The sequence below is a fragment of the Homo sapiens genome, chromosome X (genome assembly GCF_000001405.40).
Source record: "Homo sapiens chromosome X, GRCh38.p14 Primary Assembly".
Classification (NCBI taxonomy): domain Eukaryota; kingdom Metazoa; phylum Chordata; class Mammalia; order Primates; family Hominidae; genus Homo; species Homo sapiens.
Genome location: NC_000023.11, coordinates 150,458,125 through 150,474,151, shown reverse-complemented (window position 1 = coordinate 150,474,151; position 16,027 = coordinate 150,458,125). Strand labels below are relative to the sequence as shown.

Genomic DNA, 16,027 nt, shown 5'->3' with positions numbered 1-16,027 from the left:
CAGGTGAAGCACCAGGTCCCATGCCTGGCCCCTGGGCACAGGCCAGCATGGGCTGGAAAGGCAGCTCTTGGTGGCAATAGCATTTCCAATTTGGGGACCCAGCTTCTTGCCTCTGCTGGCAAAAGTCGCTTGCCCCCTTTATTGTGCTCCTAGCCCCAGGGAGCTTGACTGTTCGGTCTTTCTCCTGAACACTTTCTCCAACCCCACCTAGGTAATTGGTTGGGTATGATTTGCATGACCCCAATAATTAAGAATTCTCCCTCTGAGCCAGCTGATCCAGCTCTGGGACAACACAATCAGTCTACAAAAATGTACCCAATTGAAGACAAAACAAAACAGAAAGGCTCACAATGTTAGACGGTGACACGTCTCCAGGCTGAGGATCTTGCCTGCTAGTGAAAGAGTTCCCGTGTTGATGCTGGGGCTTCACCGAGCTAGCTGCAGAAGTCCATGCAAACAGATGGCAACAGCCCTATAATAAAATCAAACCAAAGTGCTCCTGAACTGCAGACCAGGGCCCGAGCCCCAGGTGGCCTGCCGTGTCCTATGTGCTTTGCCTATCTCCACACCGCTCCCCCGGCCACCCCCATGGGAGCTCTGCTTGCCGCATGGTCTATCAAACGACCAACTCCCTGGTGTCAAGCACTCTGCATGGTTATGCTCCAGGAAACCTGGATGGAAAAGACACAACCTCTGTACTCTAGGGGTTGCCACAGGTGTGCTCATACAGAGCTCTTAAATAAGAGGTCAGCCCTTGACAGGTGCTTCCCTTGGGCCAGGTCTCTGGCCAAGCACTTTATAATCTCCTCCTTGACCACTCTCCAGAAGAGGGAGGCACAGTGGGAAATGGAAGTACTGAGGACAGTCATGGAAAAGCTTCCTGGAGGGATGGTGCCTGAGCCCTAAGTAGCTGCAGGTGTTGGACAGGAGAGAAAATGTGGGAAGGGATGACCAGGCCCAGGGAACGGCCAGAGTAAAGGCTGAGACCAGATGGCGTGGGCCAAGTGCTGCAGGCACTTCTGGGTAATAGAAACAAAGTGCAAGGCAGGGCCTGATGGATGCTGAAGGGCCCAGGAGGCTGGTGGGGCCAGCTTATGGGCCTCTGGGGACTTCTGAGCAAGTGTAAAACATGATCAGGTCACTGTTTTAGCAAGACGACTCAGAGCAATGGATGGTTTATTGGGAGAGACCAGTTAAGGGTCAACTGTATGAGTTCAGATAAAGAATCAAGAGGACCTGAACTTGGGCAAGGATGAGAGGAATGGGAAGGAGGGATGGTAGATGGTGACTGAGTATTCTGTGTAGGCACATGTGTGACCTGGCCCCACTGAACCCTGCCTCCTGGTATTTACACCCTCATGCAATCTCCTCTGGCTTACATCTCATGAATAGAATACAGCAAAAGTGGTGGGATGTTACTTTCTAGACCAGGTCATAGAGACTGTGACTTCTGACTTGCTGGCACTATCCCTCCTCCCTCTCTCCCCATTACCCTGCTTCACTGGCACACTCTCTCATGCTCACTCAGATGAAGCCAGCTGCCATGTTGTGAGATGCTCTGTGAAGAGACCGTGTGGCAAGGAACTGAGGGAGGCCTCTGGCCAATAGCTCATGAGAAACCGAGGCCTCAGTCCAACAACCTGCAAGGAACTGCTTCCTGCCAGCAACCACATGAGTGGGCTTGGAAGCAGATCCTTCCCCACTGAGCCTTGAGATGACTGCAGCCTTAGGAGATACTCAGCCAGAAGACTCAGTTAAACCATGCCAGGATTCCTAACACCCAGAAATCAGGATGTGGTGGTAACGTATGCATATGGTTCGAAGCTGGTGCTTGGGGTAATTTGTTATGCAGCCACAGATAACTAATACAGGCAGGGGTCACAGAAATGAAAACTGGGAACTGTGATAGACACGACCCAGGTGGAATCAGCTGCATTTCATGATTGAAAAGCCTGGAGGAGATGAGGGAGGGTGAGAAGTCAAAAGTAATTTCAAGAAGAGCACAGGCTCTGGAGTGAGACCACCTGGCTTCAAGTTCCTGCTCTGTCCCTTGCGAACTATGTGACTCTGGGCAAGTCTTTCAACTCTCTGAGCCTCAGTTTCTTCATTTGTAAAATGGAGATGATGAGAGTGACTACCTTGCAAATACCTGTCTTTTTCCTTTCACGACCTGACTGAGTATCCAGCACAGTGACAAATGGCATGCTGAGGTTGCTCAGCAAAAGTTTGCTGTGGCATTTCTAGAAGGCTCAGTGTTTGTCCTTCTGCCAGCAGGGATAAGATTAAATGCTTCAGTGCAATTTCCTTACATCTTAAGAAGGATTCACTAGTCTTTCTACATGGCCCAGTGCAGGGAAGGCATTTCTGTATTCGGACTTGTCCCACCTGGCTCCTTCCACCGGGAGCACCTTGTGGGTGCAGCTCTCCTTCTAGGGAAGTTAGGTGACTTGAACAGGCACTGAAACCATAACCTTGGCCTTATTAACACTGTGCTTTTAACCACACAGGATTAGCTGACTTCAGTAGACTTTTTCAGAGTCTTTTCCAGTCTCAGAGAGAACTATAGCCTGGATTTACCCTCCAGAGCCAGATATTGGCAACATGAAACACAGTTGTTACTTCCAAAACAAAAGAACACAGCCAGATATGAGATTGTCTTACCTGTCTGGGCAGAGCAGGCATGGAATCTGAGGCCACTGATCGCTGAAAACGCTGGGGTTGCTGCATCATCTGCTGCAGAAGGAATGAAGAATGGTCAGGCTGCTGCTGCTGTTGCTGCTGCTGCTGCTGCAGCTGCAAGGTGGCAGTGGCCGTGGAGGAGGCAGTGGCTGAGGAGGCCTGCGTTGGTGTCGGCTGCTGCAGGTAGTGGAGCAGGGAAGGCTGCCTAGAGGTGGTAGGCATGGAGGGCATCTTCTGGGGACCCGGCTCAGAAACAAAATGGGACAAGGGCTTGGTGTTGCCAAAAGTAAATGGCTCCGTGGCTCCTGGGCTGGAGCTTGCCATCCCCTGCTGCATGATCATGCTCAGGGTTTTGGATGAGTTGCTGCTTATGGGCTTAAAGATCACATTTGCTTGCTGCTGCTGCTGCTGCTGCTGCTGTTGCTGGCTTAGAAGATTACTGGTGGGAGTGAGGCTTCGGATCAGGGAACACTGTGGGGTGAAGGACTGCTGTGGCAAGCCTGGGCTAGAGAGCTTCTCTGGGCGATAGGGTGGGGACGGCCCAGGGTTGCTGGCAGGCAGAGCAGACATCAGGTGTCCTTGAGGGGTTTTGATGGTAGAGGACATGAGGTTGGCAAGAATGGAGCTCTGAGGGCCGAACTGCGGCTGTTGAGTGAGAGCAGGGCTGGGGAGCTTCTCAGGAGCATAGGGCATGGCGGGCCCCAGGGCAGCATTGCTGCTGGACGTCATGCTTGACAGTAAGGCATTGGGAGAGCCTCGGAGAGTGCTACCCGACAAGGTATTGGACGACATGCAGGACACCATGAGGCTCTGGGGGCTGAATGGGGGTGGTGGTGGTGGCAGTGGCAGCGGTGGTGGGTGTGGTGATGGCACTGGGCGGTAAGGTGGAGAGAGTCCTGGAGGAGGCAGACCAGACCAACTGGGGGTGGGCCCTTGCTGCTTTGTAGCAGACCCCTGCTTGCTGGCTGCCAACGCCTTCAGCTGGTGGGCGTGATGCCACTGAGGCACTGGTAAGGGGGGCAGAGCGACAGGGAGCATGGCCTGGACCTGGCTCTTGGACTGTGCCATTGAAGAACTCGGTGACACTATCTGCTTACTGGTGGAAGGAATCGAATAGCTGATCCCTGTGGAGGAGGATGGGATCTGAAGTGACATGCCAGTAACTTGGCTGCAACTAGAAGCAAACTCCTTGCTGGAAGCCAGGCTCTCCAAGTGTGACATCTGAACCGAAGGCTTGGGAGTTGTGCTTAGGGTTGCCTGGGGATGATCTAAAACCAGTGGCTCTTCTGGCTTCGTCCCCAGTATCTTCTCAAGATCTAGCTCATTTGGAGAAGGGTCTTGAATTTTGGTGAGCTCCTCTAGCAGCTCTTGAAGCTCCTGGTCTACAGCCGGCACGCTGTTGATTTTCTCATAGTAAGGAACAGTGGGCCCTTTCAGTCCCACTTCTGTAGTCTGTGGTACTACAAATGGTGAGCCCATGATGTTGCCATTCATAGGGTTATTCTCCAGCAGTAATGACTGGCCAGCCACTCCCATAGCCGCAGGGCTAGGATTTATTGTCAATGGAGGGACCTGCAGTTCTGCACAAGCAGTACTAGGATGAGCACCTGGGCCCATTGCAAGGGTGACATCTTCAAGGCAAGGCCTCTTAATTTTATTAGGGTAGCCCCCATCAGCCATGTCTGGAAACTGGAAGTGGTCTTCTTCTTGTCTCCTCTTAACAGTTCCCTGTGAATGGAAGAGAAGAGAAGAGGAGAAGAGAGGAGAGGAGAAGGGAAGAGAGGTGACACACACACACACACACACACACACACACAGAGAGAGAGAGAGAGAGAGACAGAGAGAAAGAGAGAGAGAGAGAGAGAGGAATTTTTATAAAGGTTTGGCACATTAAAGCTAATGAACAGGAAATGTGCATGATAAAACAGACCTCTCAGTTTAAAGACTTATAGTTGTGAAAACTATAAAATACAGCCTGTCTTTGGAACCATAGTGCTTATTTATTCATTATTATGTTTCATCTAAACTGTCTAATTACATTTCAAATAAGGCATTATGTTGTCTGTATACTAAAACGGGATAGAACGTTATGCAAAGGGTAATCTGCCCACTTCAAGGAGAGTTCAACAAAACTATGCAGAAGTCACTAAATGAACCATGCTGCCAAAGGCAGGCATTGGAGAGAAAACTAGAAGTAGCTAAATAGTTTTAATTCTTTCCTGTCTACAGACACATAGATTTTAACGAAGGAATACCATAGTATAGAATTGAACTTTTAGGCTGCCTTCTAGTCTTGGTTAAATGCATCAGGCTGCAGTGGTAAAATTGAATACAACAGAGCCCTTACAGGAAAGAAGTAGATCTGGATGTGTTTTCTTGGGGAGCTGTTTAAAATACTGTTTTTGGGAAAGCACAAGTTTCAGAACAGTCATTGTAGGCATCGTATTCATTGTTCCATTTATTTTTACACACACACACACACACACACACACACTCTCACACATTGCTATGTGTACACAAAAATAATTTGGAAGAACCTATACCCAACAATTTGGAGTGGTCATTTATTTGGGATGACTGGCAATTCCCTTTCTATTCTCTTCATTTCTGCTTGTTTGTCTTTAACGAGAACGACTCATAATCCAAAAATTTAAAAAAGTATAAAGTTATCTAAATAAGAAATTTTCCTCTGAAGATGCATCCTCAGGTTGGGGAGATATTAAACAATGAGAAAAGGCCCCAATCTGGGATCTGAACCTTGGGGGAGCTGCCCATCATTTATAGAAGCACAGCCTTTGGGAACAAAGCAAAGTCACTAGCAATGTGAGACTTCCTACTCTTCATGGCTTCATACAGTCATCCATCGCTGTTGTGTTAATGACCATGACCTGTATGTTAGCAGGTAAATGGGAAAGGAAGTGGGGGCAAAGGAGTATGTGCAGGAATGATCAAAATAAGGAAAGGAAGAGAGGGATCTGGAAATCACCTGAATGCCGATAGGTGAACAGGTAGAATTCTTTTAAAGCTTCCCCCACCCGGTACCCCCCAAATAACCCCTTTCCAGCTTTGGAAGTTTCACTAGGACATACAGTGCTCATCCTCTGATGTCACCTTAAGTTTGGCTCTTCTGGTTTGATGAGCTTGTAGCCCACTAGGAGCTCAAGGCATGCATGGGGCCACTTGCCAGCACGATGAGGGGCATGACTGTCATGGCCAAGTGAACATCAAAGCAGATCCCCAGGGCTGTATGTCTCAGGCCTTGGTGCACATCAGAATCACTTAGAAACATCCACATTCCTGGGCCCTCCCACCACAAACTGACAGCTTCATCCAGGGTGTGGCCCAGGCATCGGGAGTTTTTCCAACAGCTCCATGGCTGATTCTCAACAGAAAACCACTGGCCCAGAGCAAGGGTGGAGGCAGCGTGGCATAGGGCTCTGACCTTGGCCTTGCCACTGAACCTCTCAGAGCCCCAGTTTCTTTATGTGTAAAATGAGTGTAATTATAGTTCTTTTCTCATGAAGGTGCTCTGACTATTAAGTGAAACGGGGCACATTGTATGACACCTAATAGCTCCTCACTAACTGGTACCCGGCATTATAAAGGGCAGGTATGGAAGGGTTCTGGGAGTCCAATACCCTTCTTAAAGACAGAGAGGTCTCTGAGACCCAGAGAGGGGCAGGCCTTACCCAGAGTTGCTCAGCCAGAGGGCAACAAGGCCCAGGTCAGATGCAGGGCCCCTCCACCACCACTCAGCTGCCTCCAGACCCACTGCCTTCGCCATGTTGTTGGTAGGACACTGCATCGCCCCCACAGAAGGGGCTTGCCAACTTGAGTGAGAGGACTTGCACACTTCTTTGACTTTTCTTTTGAGATGCCCACAATCTGAACAAGGGCACTTCAAGGGACAGCTCTGTCACCAAACTCATCTGAGGCCTGAATACCATGGGTCAGGCAGGAATGGGTTGGAGAGGTGTAGAGCAGGCACAATAAGAGGGCTGAGGCCCATGCAGTCATCAGTGCCCACTTTCCCAGGAGTCTGACTGGGCACAGCACCCATAGTGTCCCTGAGCTGGTCCATGGAGCAGCTCACTAACTGTTTGGCCCACAGCAGGTGCTCAGTAAATGGCAGTTGAACGAATCAATGGACAAAGGAACATAAATTACCCAACACACAGGGAGCTCAGCCATTTACTCAATCCATTATGGAGTAACCTACAAACAAGCCACTGGGTCCCAAACTGAAATTGTGTCTCTTCTACATTCTCCCAAAGAATCCAATAGGTTAAAAATAGAAATGTATGAAATAGATCAATCAGGGATGATTGCATGTGGATTTGACATAAGGATCCCCTGCAGGGAGTCTGAGCTGGCAACAGTCAGGCCCAAAGTGCTGTCCATGATGTCTCGAACTGCAAGACAGTTTTAACAATGGCGAAGCAATGCAGAACCAGGCAGGCCAAGGAGGGGGTGGGGGTTGGGGAAAGGAAGGGAGGGAAGGGGCTGTGAGGGGCAATGGTCTGGCATCCCTGCCACGTGAGCCTCTGAAATTTGCTGGCAGCTTCTATGGGCTCCCAGAGCTTTCACTTAATTGTTGGTCTGCCACTAACCTGCTGGGAGTAAGGTGCAGGGATGGAGGAGGCAGGGCATGACCACCAGACACTAAAGGTACCAGCTGGGGCCACTGGCAAAGGGAAGGAGGCTGCACCTCTCCTACATGAGAGCCCGTATACACACACCTTTTCCAGCACTCATCAACTGCATCCCAAGCAAATGGTCCCTGATCAATTCCAATTCTAGAAACCAACTGACTACTCAATAACAAAGTAGATCCCAGCAGGCCGCCACTGCTGGAGCGGATGCCACTTTTGCTATGCCAAGTCTGTGGCTGGACAGCTGCTGGCATGTACACTCACTGACTTTCATAAGGATGCCTAATAAAGGGGGCAGGCTCACCTGGCTTTTCTCAGGGGTGGGGTTTGGGGTGCCGATAGAGGCTGCTGTTTTGGCAGAGTGGCAAGCTGCAAGCCTCTTCTGAGCTTTCATTTTTCAATGGACTTCAGTGAGAACTCACTTTGTCAGAGGCCATGCAGCTCCATGTTTTGGATTTCATGGAATGAGCTTTCAACAGTGAGCCTGAAGTGCCCTGGCTGAACAGCAAGAACACCAGCCAACCCTAAACAAGGCCGAGGAGAGGCGGCTGTGTTTACACGGAAGGCTCAGCCTTGCTGTAATAGCGTCTGCCTTCACCAGACATCAGTGAGGCGTGGAAATCTATTATCCAGTTAATTTTGCCCCTAGATAAAGACTTGCTTTCGTGTCTTCTCTTTCACAGTCCCATGATCTGTTACTCATCTCAACTGCGAGAAGTTGGCTGGGCTTTCCCCTGTGCCCAGTGCCACACTCGTGCCTTCACTGGGTCACCTGTGCCTGTGGCTGATGCCGCTGAGGTTTTGCCTGCCCAGACTGGGTGTTTCTGACTAAATCCCACAGCCACCATTTTAGATCAAGGGCAGGAGATAGCTCACTGCTCCGGAATGACCTCCCCTCCCAGAATCCTGGTAGGGGCGGAAGGTCCCCAACCAAGCTCCCAGCCCTTTCTAAATGAATCTCCCTGCTTCACCCATGTGCTTTTCTCCAGTCTCTGCGGTCTTGATGACAGCAGGGTATTAGTCCTAGCTGTCCCACAGCTCCTACTTCTTTCAGGCCTCTCCCTGTGACAATCAGTAGCCACTGGCAGGATTTCCTCAGAGCATATCTCGATTTGCTTTCAGACAATTAGTTAAAAGGACACTGGACCCCAGACGTCCCAACTCCCAGCCAGAGCCCTCACAGGCCCGGCCTTTGGTGGTGAGGAAGGGGGAGGGAGTGAGTGACAGTGCCCTGGCATCTTTTAGAAACGAATTCCTTTCTCTCCATACATAAATGCCTGCAGAGTCCCATTTCAGAATCCGGCAGACAAAGCCACCAATGTGATCCCCATGACCTTATAAACATTCATTAAAATGCATTTCAAGGCATGTGATGGCCTCCCCACCCCCTAGATAATGAGAAAACAAAGGTTTCTCTTCTGATAGAGACAAGTTCAGCTCTGAAGTCAACATTATTTCTGGTTCTGTCTGAACAATGACATATGGCAACTCTTCCCTTTCTATAGTTCTAGTCCAGAATGACAAAAAAGGGGAAAAATTTCTTAGAGAAGGTAGAGATTATACGAATACAGTCCATGAAATGAGCATAAGGAGAGTAAAGAATATAACTTATCCAAAGAAGTCTGGCAGGCTGTTATAAATGCTTGATTTTGGACACTGTAGTTGGAGGTTTAACATGGACACCAATAAAAAGGTCAGCAAAGGGTATGCACTGTTCCTATTGGGCAAGAAGATAGGAGGTCAAAGGTAACCAGGAAAGATAAACTCAGGGAGACTTATTTTCCCTCCAGAGGGCACTGGGCTTGTAGGCCCTGGGCAAAATTGTCAAAAAGGTGAAAATCGCCTGTGGTTTATTTAGTCTGCTCTTTCTTCACTAGTGCCTCACCAGTTCAGTTCAGGCCAATTTGCTAGCCAGTTCTCCTAGTCTCTTCCCTTACATCCATACTCCATGAACAACTTTATTCAATATTGTTACATTTTCCCCCTATGAATTTTGAGGCACCTGATGTTGGCCAACTAAATTAGACTTCAAGCCCTCTGAGGACAAGGATGGCCCCCAGTAGACTATCTCAGAAGAAAGTAATGAAGATGTCGTGGGGCATGATGGAGGTAGCTGTAGAATAGATAAGAAAATAATGTATCAGGAATGGGTTTGAAGAGACAAAGAGATGGGGGATGGAGAGAAAGAGAGAGAGTGAGAGCGAGGAGGAGAGAAAGACAGAATGAATATGTTTGCATTTGCACATGGGATCAAAGGAATATCCGTGTGTATAGTATCAATGCCTGTATTTGGGGATGTGTTATTTACATGTTTATTTTCAGCAGAATGTCCCAGCAAACTGAAACTGATCTTTCTGTAGAACAAACAGGATTTTGAGCATTTCCAGAATTGCAAGACATGAGGCTCTGGAGAATACCAGGGTGGTTGGGAATGGCAGGGAACCCTGAATGCTAATGCTGATTGGCTTCAAGAGGAGTCAGTTATGTCTCAGGAGCAAATCTCTGATAATGGGTGGTTTGGAGCAAGAACCTCGACCTACAAATCGGGGATTTATTGGTGTCCCTGATTCGCCCTGAACCAGCACTCGATGCAGGCAGATGCAGGCTGCGGTGGAGGAAGGGGCCCTGGAATGCACATGAGAAGACCTGCAGTTAAGTCCTAGCTCCTCCGTTTGTTGTGTGGCTGTGGGCAAGCCACTCCCCTCCCTGAAGCTCAATTTCTTCTTCTGTAAAATGGGTACTTGGCCCACCATGTGTGCTTCACAGCATTAGTGAAAGGTTCCATTGTACTCACTGAGGAGAGCACTTGGGGAGCAGTAATCACTACTGATATCATTCTCAAGGCCCTGTGTCTTCGTGTTGGGCCTCTGTTGCTTTCTTACAAATAAGGATGCATTCACTAGGATAGGGGGATGGAGTGGAAGTAGGGGGAGGCAAGCAGCTTAGTCCTGACAGCACTGACCTGACAGCACTGACCTGACAGCCAGGGATGCTGTCTTGGTGGCTGAGCCTGGAAACTCCTGCCTCCTGCTGCTTGCCACCACCTGCCACTCTGAAGGCTGCCACAGTCATCAGCCTTTAGCCACCCTGACCTGAGGGCTGGGGCTTCAACAGGCTTCTGCCAGAACTATCTGAGCAGCAGCCTGGAGTGGCTGGAAGTGCACTGACAAAGGCAGAGATGAGCAAACCTGGGTGGGCAGTGTTCTAGAACTACTTTCTCCTTTTCTGTAGTGTAGACATGCCAGTTGGAAGAACTGACAGCTCTAAGGATGATCCTCAACCTATAGATGTATATGAATTTAATGAGCTCAGAATTTGTATTGTACCATCTCCTGAGAAGAATCAAGGTATTCTGCCATTGAACAAGCATTTGTTGAGAGCTAGCCTCTAACTCCTAGACCGTCAGAACTGCTGGGCCCTTCAAGACGGGCTGCTCACACCCACTCATGTTAAGCCTGGTGAGGCCTGTACTCTGTTTTCACAGGAAGAAATCCTCACCCAGTCTTCCCCAAACACATTCCCAGGTTCTGTCATTAGTGGGATAGAGATGATTACTGTGGGGAGAAGAGAAACATCTGGATGGATTTGGTGAGGTTGATCTATAGAGGAAGTAGGTGCTGCCTGAGGTAGCTGTAATAGAAGCTAAAGGTCAAAGGAGAGGGCCCTGTCCCAATCCAGATGACTCCACTTCTGCTGGACCCAGGTTCACAAGCTTAATCTACATTTCACCTAAATTTGGCTAACAAGCCCAAAATCACACAGGCAAAGGGAGAAGTGGAGGCAGAACCGAGGTTGGAGGCCACCAGGGCCACCGGGCAGAGATCATTTAAGCCCAACCTTCTCACTTCTCCCTGGGCTCTGCCTCTCTTAAAGGACCTTGTGGTGTGACCTCTTGTAGGTCCCTTTCACACTCGGGGCCTCAGTTTCCCCACTGTAAAGTGAATGGGTCCCAGCTTTGGTAAGCTTATGCTTACCTGATGCTTTCTTCCTGGGCTGCTCTTGTAGAGAAAAGATAAATCTTCTTCCTCCATCCACGAGGGCTTCTTTCCCTGGGGGTGAGAGTAGGCTGAGGAGAGCCACTTGCACACACTCTTAAAGAAAGTATTACCTGCACCAGCTCAGTGAGAGGCACAGATCAGACTGTTACTTGAATCAAATTATGAGCCTCCCCAAATATATCTATGACATTTAAATAGGGGATTACTTGAACATAGACTGTGGGATCCGGTGTGGAGTGCGGGAGACTAGCAAAGTGAATCCTGAGAGTAGCAGGTCTGCACCTGTTGGATCGAGAAAGGCGGCCTACAATTCTGGTCAAATGAGCTGTGCTTATTGACATATTCTATTAGAGAGTACTACCAGGTCACCAGTCACCAGAAAGGCTGCCAGCTCTCCAACCACCTCCAGGGAACTATCCTGAATGGGGCCTTAACAAGCCTAAGAGAGGGTTGGTTTGGGTCCCAAGCCAATATTTGCTCTGCTTTATGTCAGTCATATGGAACCCAAACCAACCCTCTCCTATGTGCCTCACCAGTCGGTGCAGGGATCCCAATTTCAAGTTTGGTTTTTTATGGTCAAAGTCCAGCATAGATTAAATGAAGGGGTGTGATGATGGTGTTAAAAGAGAACTCCAGACCAGTTTAACTCTTGGACACACATCCCATCTCACCATGGTGCTTCCAACCTTCCAGAGATGATGGGCTCCTATTTTCTGATGACAAAGCCCTCCACAGGATTGCTGCCTGGCCATCAGGGAGTGCCTCTGTAACTGAGGCTGAGATCCCACTTTCAGTCCTCCAGCTGTGGCCCATCCCTGCTCCGCCCACCGGGTATGGCCTGTCCTAGGCTCTTAGGTATGGCTGCATTGTGAAATGATGGCTACAGAGCTGGCATCTCCTGTAGTCTGGTTCATCTAGTGCACTACCTCATAGTTAAAAGAAATCTGTTTAAGCCACTGAGGGTGGCTCCTAGTGCCAACTCCAAGAACAGGAAGCTTCCCTTTTTTGGGAGGAGGGGCAGATGGTAACATGGATCGTCCAGGTCAATGGGAGCAGGGCAACCACAGTAAGTACTGGACAACAACACAAAACTCCATGTGTGGCTTCCATCGAGTCCCTCTCCAATTGGTTTGGTCTTCTCCGTCCCATGCAGCACTTCAGCAAGGGGCCTGGCTGAAGGCTATGAATTGTGTGGAGCCTCCTCATTGCAGTCTCCAACCATCTGATGCTGGGAAAATGTCACCAGGATGCAGCCATGCCGTGTGGCCAATGAACCGAGAAAACACCCCTTTTCTAGAATGCTCTAAAGAGGCAGAATAATCCAGAGGTGAGGAAGGAAATACTCCACCAGAGACCCAGGCAGTTCCTACAAAAGCCAGACTTTCCTTCACCTAGGGAGTGACAAGACCAGTGGAAAACACTCTCAAGCAGTAACCCCCAAATGCTCTGCAAGCCAGTGGCGTCCAGATACCGCACAAGCGAGTGGGCTGTCTAATCCCATCATCATGATGTAAATATCTCTAGGCTGCCCTGGGCTGTGCCTGACCCTGTCTTCAGCTTTCCACACCTCCACCTACAGCCCATGCACAGAAGGACCACCCAGGAATGCTGCAAGTGTGGCACCTCCAGGGCCACCCAGGGAGAAGGAGGGCAGCTATGCTGGTGGCTCCAGGCCCATTTGGCGGGTGGTACCTTCACACCACAAAGCCCAAACTGAGGCCCCAGATTTGGCTGATGAGGGCATATTGGACAGGGGTCACTTATGCTCTTCCCCATTGCCACCTGGCCTCTGGCTACCTGGACTTGGCTACCTGTGGATCCTCTCACAGGTGCCACCATCTTGGCTGAGTCTCCAGATGCGAGGTCCCTGAGGCAGTGGCAGGCTTCTCGCTAATGCTGATGGGATTAGGAATGGGATAGGTGGGGAGGGCCCTGGACTGGGCCCTGATGAGCCAAGTGGGTTTTTAGAGGGGCTACTGGTACATTTCAGGGACAGGACATCTGGTAGAGCTAAGCTGGGGCAATAAGGAGCCACTGCTAATCTGAGAGCTAGAAACAATCAGCTTCTGGGTCATTATTAATTAGGGTAGTTTGGGCTGTGTGGAAGTCACGTACTATATGGGGTAGCCACAGCTCTCTCTACAGATAATCTCTAAGACTTCTGATTGGGACTGTGTGAATGCAGTAGCAATATCTCTTCTTACTGCCAGGCCCTGCCAGTCCTGCCTCCACGCCCTGGCTGGCCCCCCTTATGATCTGACCCATGCCAGGCTGCCATAGTATGTTACTTCTGCATTAGCACTCCTTGGGACCTGCCTCTCCACTGTCCCTCAGACTTTAAAGAACTATACAAACCCAAGGGGCTCTTCCCAAGAGAATTGATATGACTTGAGGTGATTCCATTTCTGGAAGTAGTCACTCCATTTTCTGCCTCACTCTTTCAGTGCTTCACAGAGCAGGATGACCCAGGTGCCCTTGTGGTGAGGATCTTTGTTCAGGGGAATGTGACTTTCATCAGAGTGGCCCAGATAAACCCAGTGGTTTTGTGGTTCGGAGTGGGAAAGCCTTCCCAAGAGCAGGACATGGGATTGGACATGGAAGCCTGTTTCTGGGCTCCATGCCTGTTGGATTGGCCCCATCAGATCAGTGGCAACCTTGCCTGTGGGCACCCTGACCAGGGCACACAATCCTCTGCCCAAAACTCCTGGAATCACAAGACACAAATGACTATTGTGGTACTAAGCACTTTGTATGCATTCACATAGTTATCTTCACAACTCTATGAGAAAGATATTCCCATTATCATCCTCATCTTAGAAATGAAGAACAGAGATGCCTGCAGTTTAGAGGTTTATCAGGGAATCATCTCCAAATTGGTGGGGGCTGGAACTTGAGTGTGAGTGGCTAGAGAGAACAAGGAGCAAAGATTAAAGAGTCTTGCCTGCCTGTCTTCCTTCCTTCCTCCCTCCCTCCCTCCCTCCATCCCTCCCTCTCTTCCTTTCTTATTCCCATCTTTCTCCTTTCTTCTCTTTCTCCATTTCCTTTTGTTTTAGTAAGGGAGACCTGATTTATAAGTAGACTTCAAGAGTGACTTTGGAATACTTACTAAGTGACAGGTACAGTTCCAAATGCATTTTAGGCTTTACCTTAATGTTCCCAGTGACTCAAGAAAGTCAGTACTAATGTGATCACCCCCACCCTCATTGTACAGATGAGGGTGCCCAGTTGAAGACAGGGAGTGTCACTTGCTTAAGGGCATTTGGCTGGCTAAAAAGTGGTGGAACCAGGGAGTGAACTTGGGTTTGTCAGCCTCCAGAGCCCTGTCCTCAAGCAGAAGTGGGGCTTGGAGGAAATGGGCCAAGGTGCCATTCAGATGATAGGGCAATGGTTGAAGGAGAGCCAGAGCTAGAGAAAGAGAGAGAGAGAGAGAGACTATACCAACTTCCTCTACAAGCAGAGGAAATAACAAGAGCAACTAGTTACCAAGCCTCTGCTTCAGCCCTGTTAACTACATCAATTCCTTTCATCTTCAGTGTAACCTTATGAGGTTAGAAATTGGGGTACTGAGATGAAAAGGCCTTTGGTCCAGGGCCTCCTGGGGGAACACACAGTGACAGACTGCCTGGAAGGCGCAGTCAGGAGACACCCCTGCTGAACCCACGCAGCCTCCCCCTCCTTTCCTGGCATGATAAAAACAGACCCCATTTGGATTGCAGTGGCAAGGTCAGGAAACAAGGTGACAGTCCTCCTCATTGCCAGGACACCAACTAGAGTAGTTTAAATGGGGCAAATAGAAAAATAGTTGCTATAAGAACATTTAAGATCTGCTCTCACAGTAAATTTCAAATATGCAATACAGCATTATTAAATATAGCCACAGTGCTGTACATTAGATTGCCCAAATTTATGCATCCTATAACTGAGAATTTGTACCCATTGACTGACATCTCCCCATTTCACACCCCACCCCCTGCAACTCTTGGTAACCAGCCTTCTACTGTTTCTATGATTTTAAAACAGTTCTATGAGTTCAGAAACAAATATAACTAGATGAAGTTATGGATGGATGCATTGACTAACTTGATTGTGGTAATCATTTCACAATATATATGTATATCAAATCATCACACTGTATACCTTAAATATACATTTTTAATTTGTCACTTATACCTCAATAGAGCTGGAAAGAATAAAGAGAAAGAAAAAAAACAGCTGCTGGTTAATCAGAGCCTTCTTTCCTATAGTGAGGTGTTTGGGTCTCTAGTTTTGGGACTGAAGCTTTTATAATCTGGGGCCCTCTTTATGAAACAGAATATAAAATTAAAACAAAATTAGGTACCGGGTCTTAGAAGGCTTGAGGGATGAACTTTGAAGCTTAGGCCAGAGGTGACCTTACCTCTCTCTGTGCCCCAACAGTAGGCTAAATAAAATGGCAACAAGCTTCAGACCATGCAGAATATTTCCCTGCTTGAGAAATTCAACTGCTATGTAGGTGGGAGAAGATTCCAGAGACACCTGATTAGTTCAGAACCTTCTAGAGGGGCATCCTGTCTATGACCTCTTCCTGCTAGGACACACCAAAGAGAGATGCTGCTATCAATGGCCACATTTAAAACAATTTATGTCCAGAACATGCCTATGTAGCTTAGCAGAGGGGTCACATGCTTATTGAATAAGCACATTTTAGCTCCTGAGTGC

The 16,027-nt window shown here is 48.8% G+C and overlaps 1 protein-coding gene across 11 annotated transcripts in view; it reads right to left on the bottom strand.

Moving 5' to 3' along the window:
* Positions 1-16,027, bottom strand: part of MAMLD1 (mastermind like domain containing 1) — a 152,602-nt gene that overhangs the window by 40,022 nt on the left and 96,553 nt on the right. For 6 of the 11 annotated variants that reach the window (XM_047441709.1, XM_024452317.2, NM_001400513.1 and 3 more), the window contains 2 exons: positions 11,306-11,380; positions 2,662-4,407 (listed from right to left, as the gene is read on the bottom strand). In XM_047441709.1, the coding sequence (XP_047297665.1) occupies positions 2,662-4,407; positions 11,306-11,380 (1,821 nt within the window). Of the gene's footprint in view, positions 1-349; positions 473-2,661; positions 4,408-11,305; positions 11,381-16,027 lie in introns of all 11 variants that reach the window. The other 5 variants (NM_001400515.1, NM_005491.5, NM_001400514.1 and 2 more) reach the window with 3 other exon arrangements.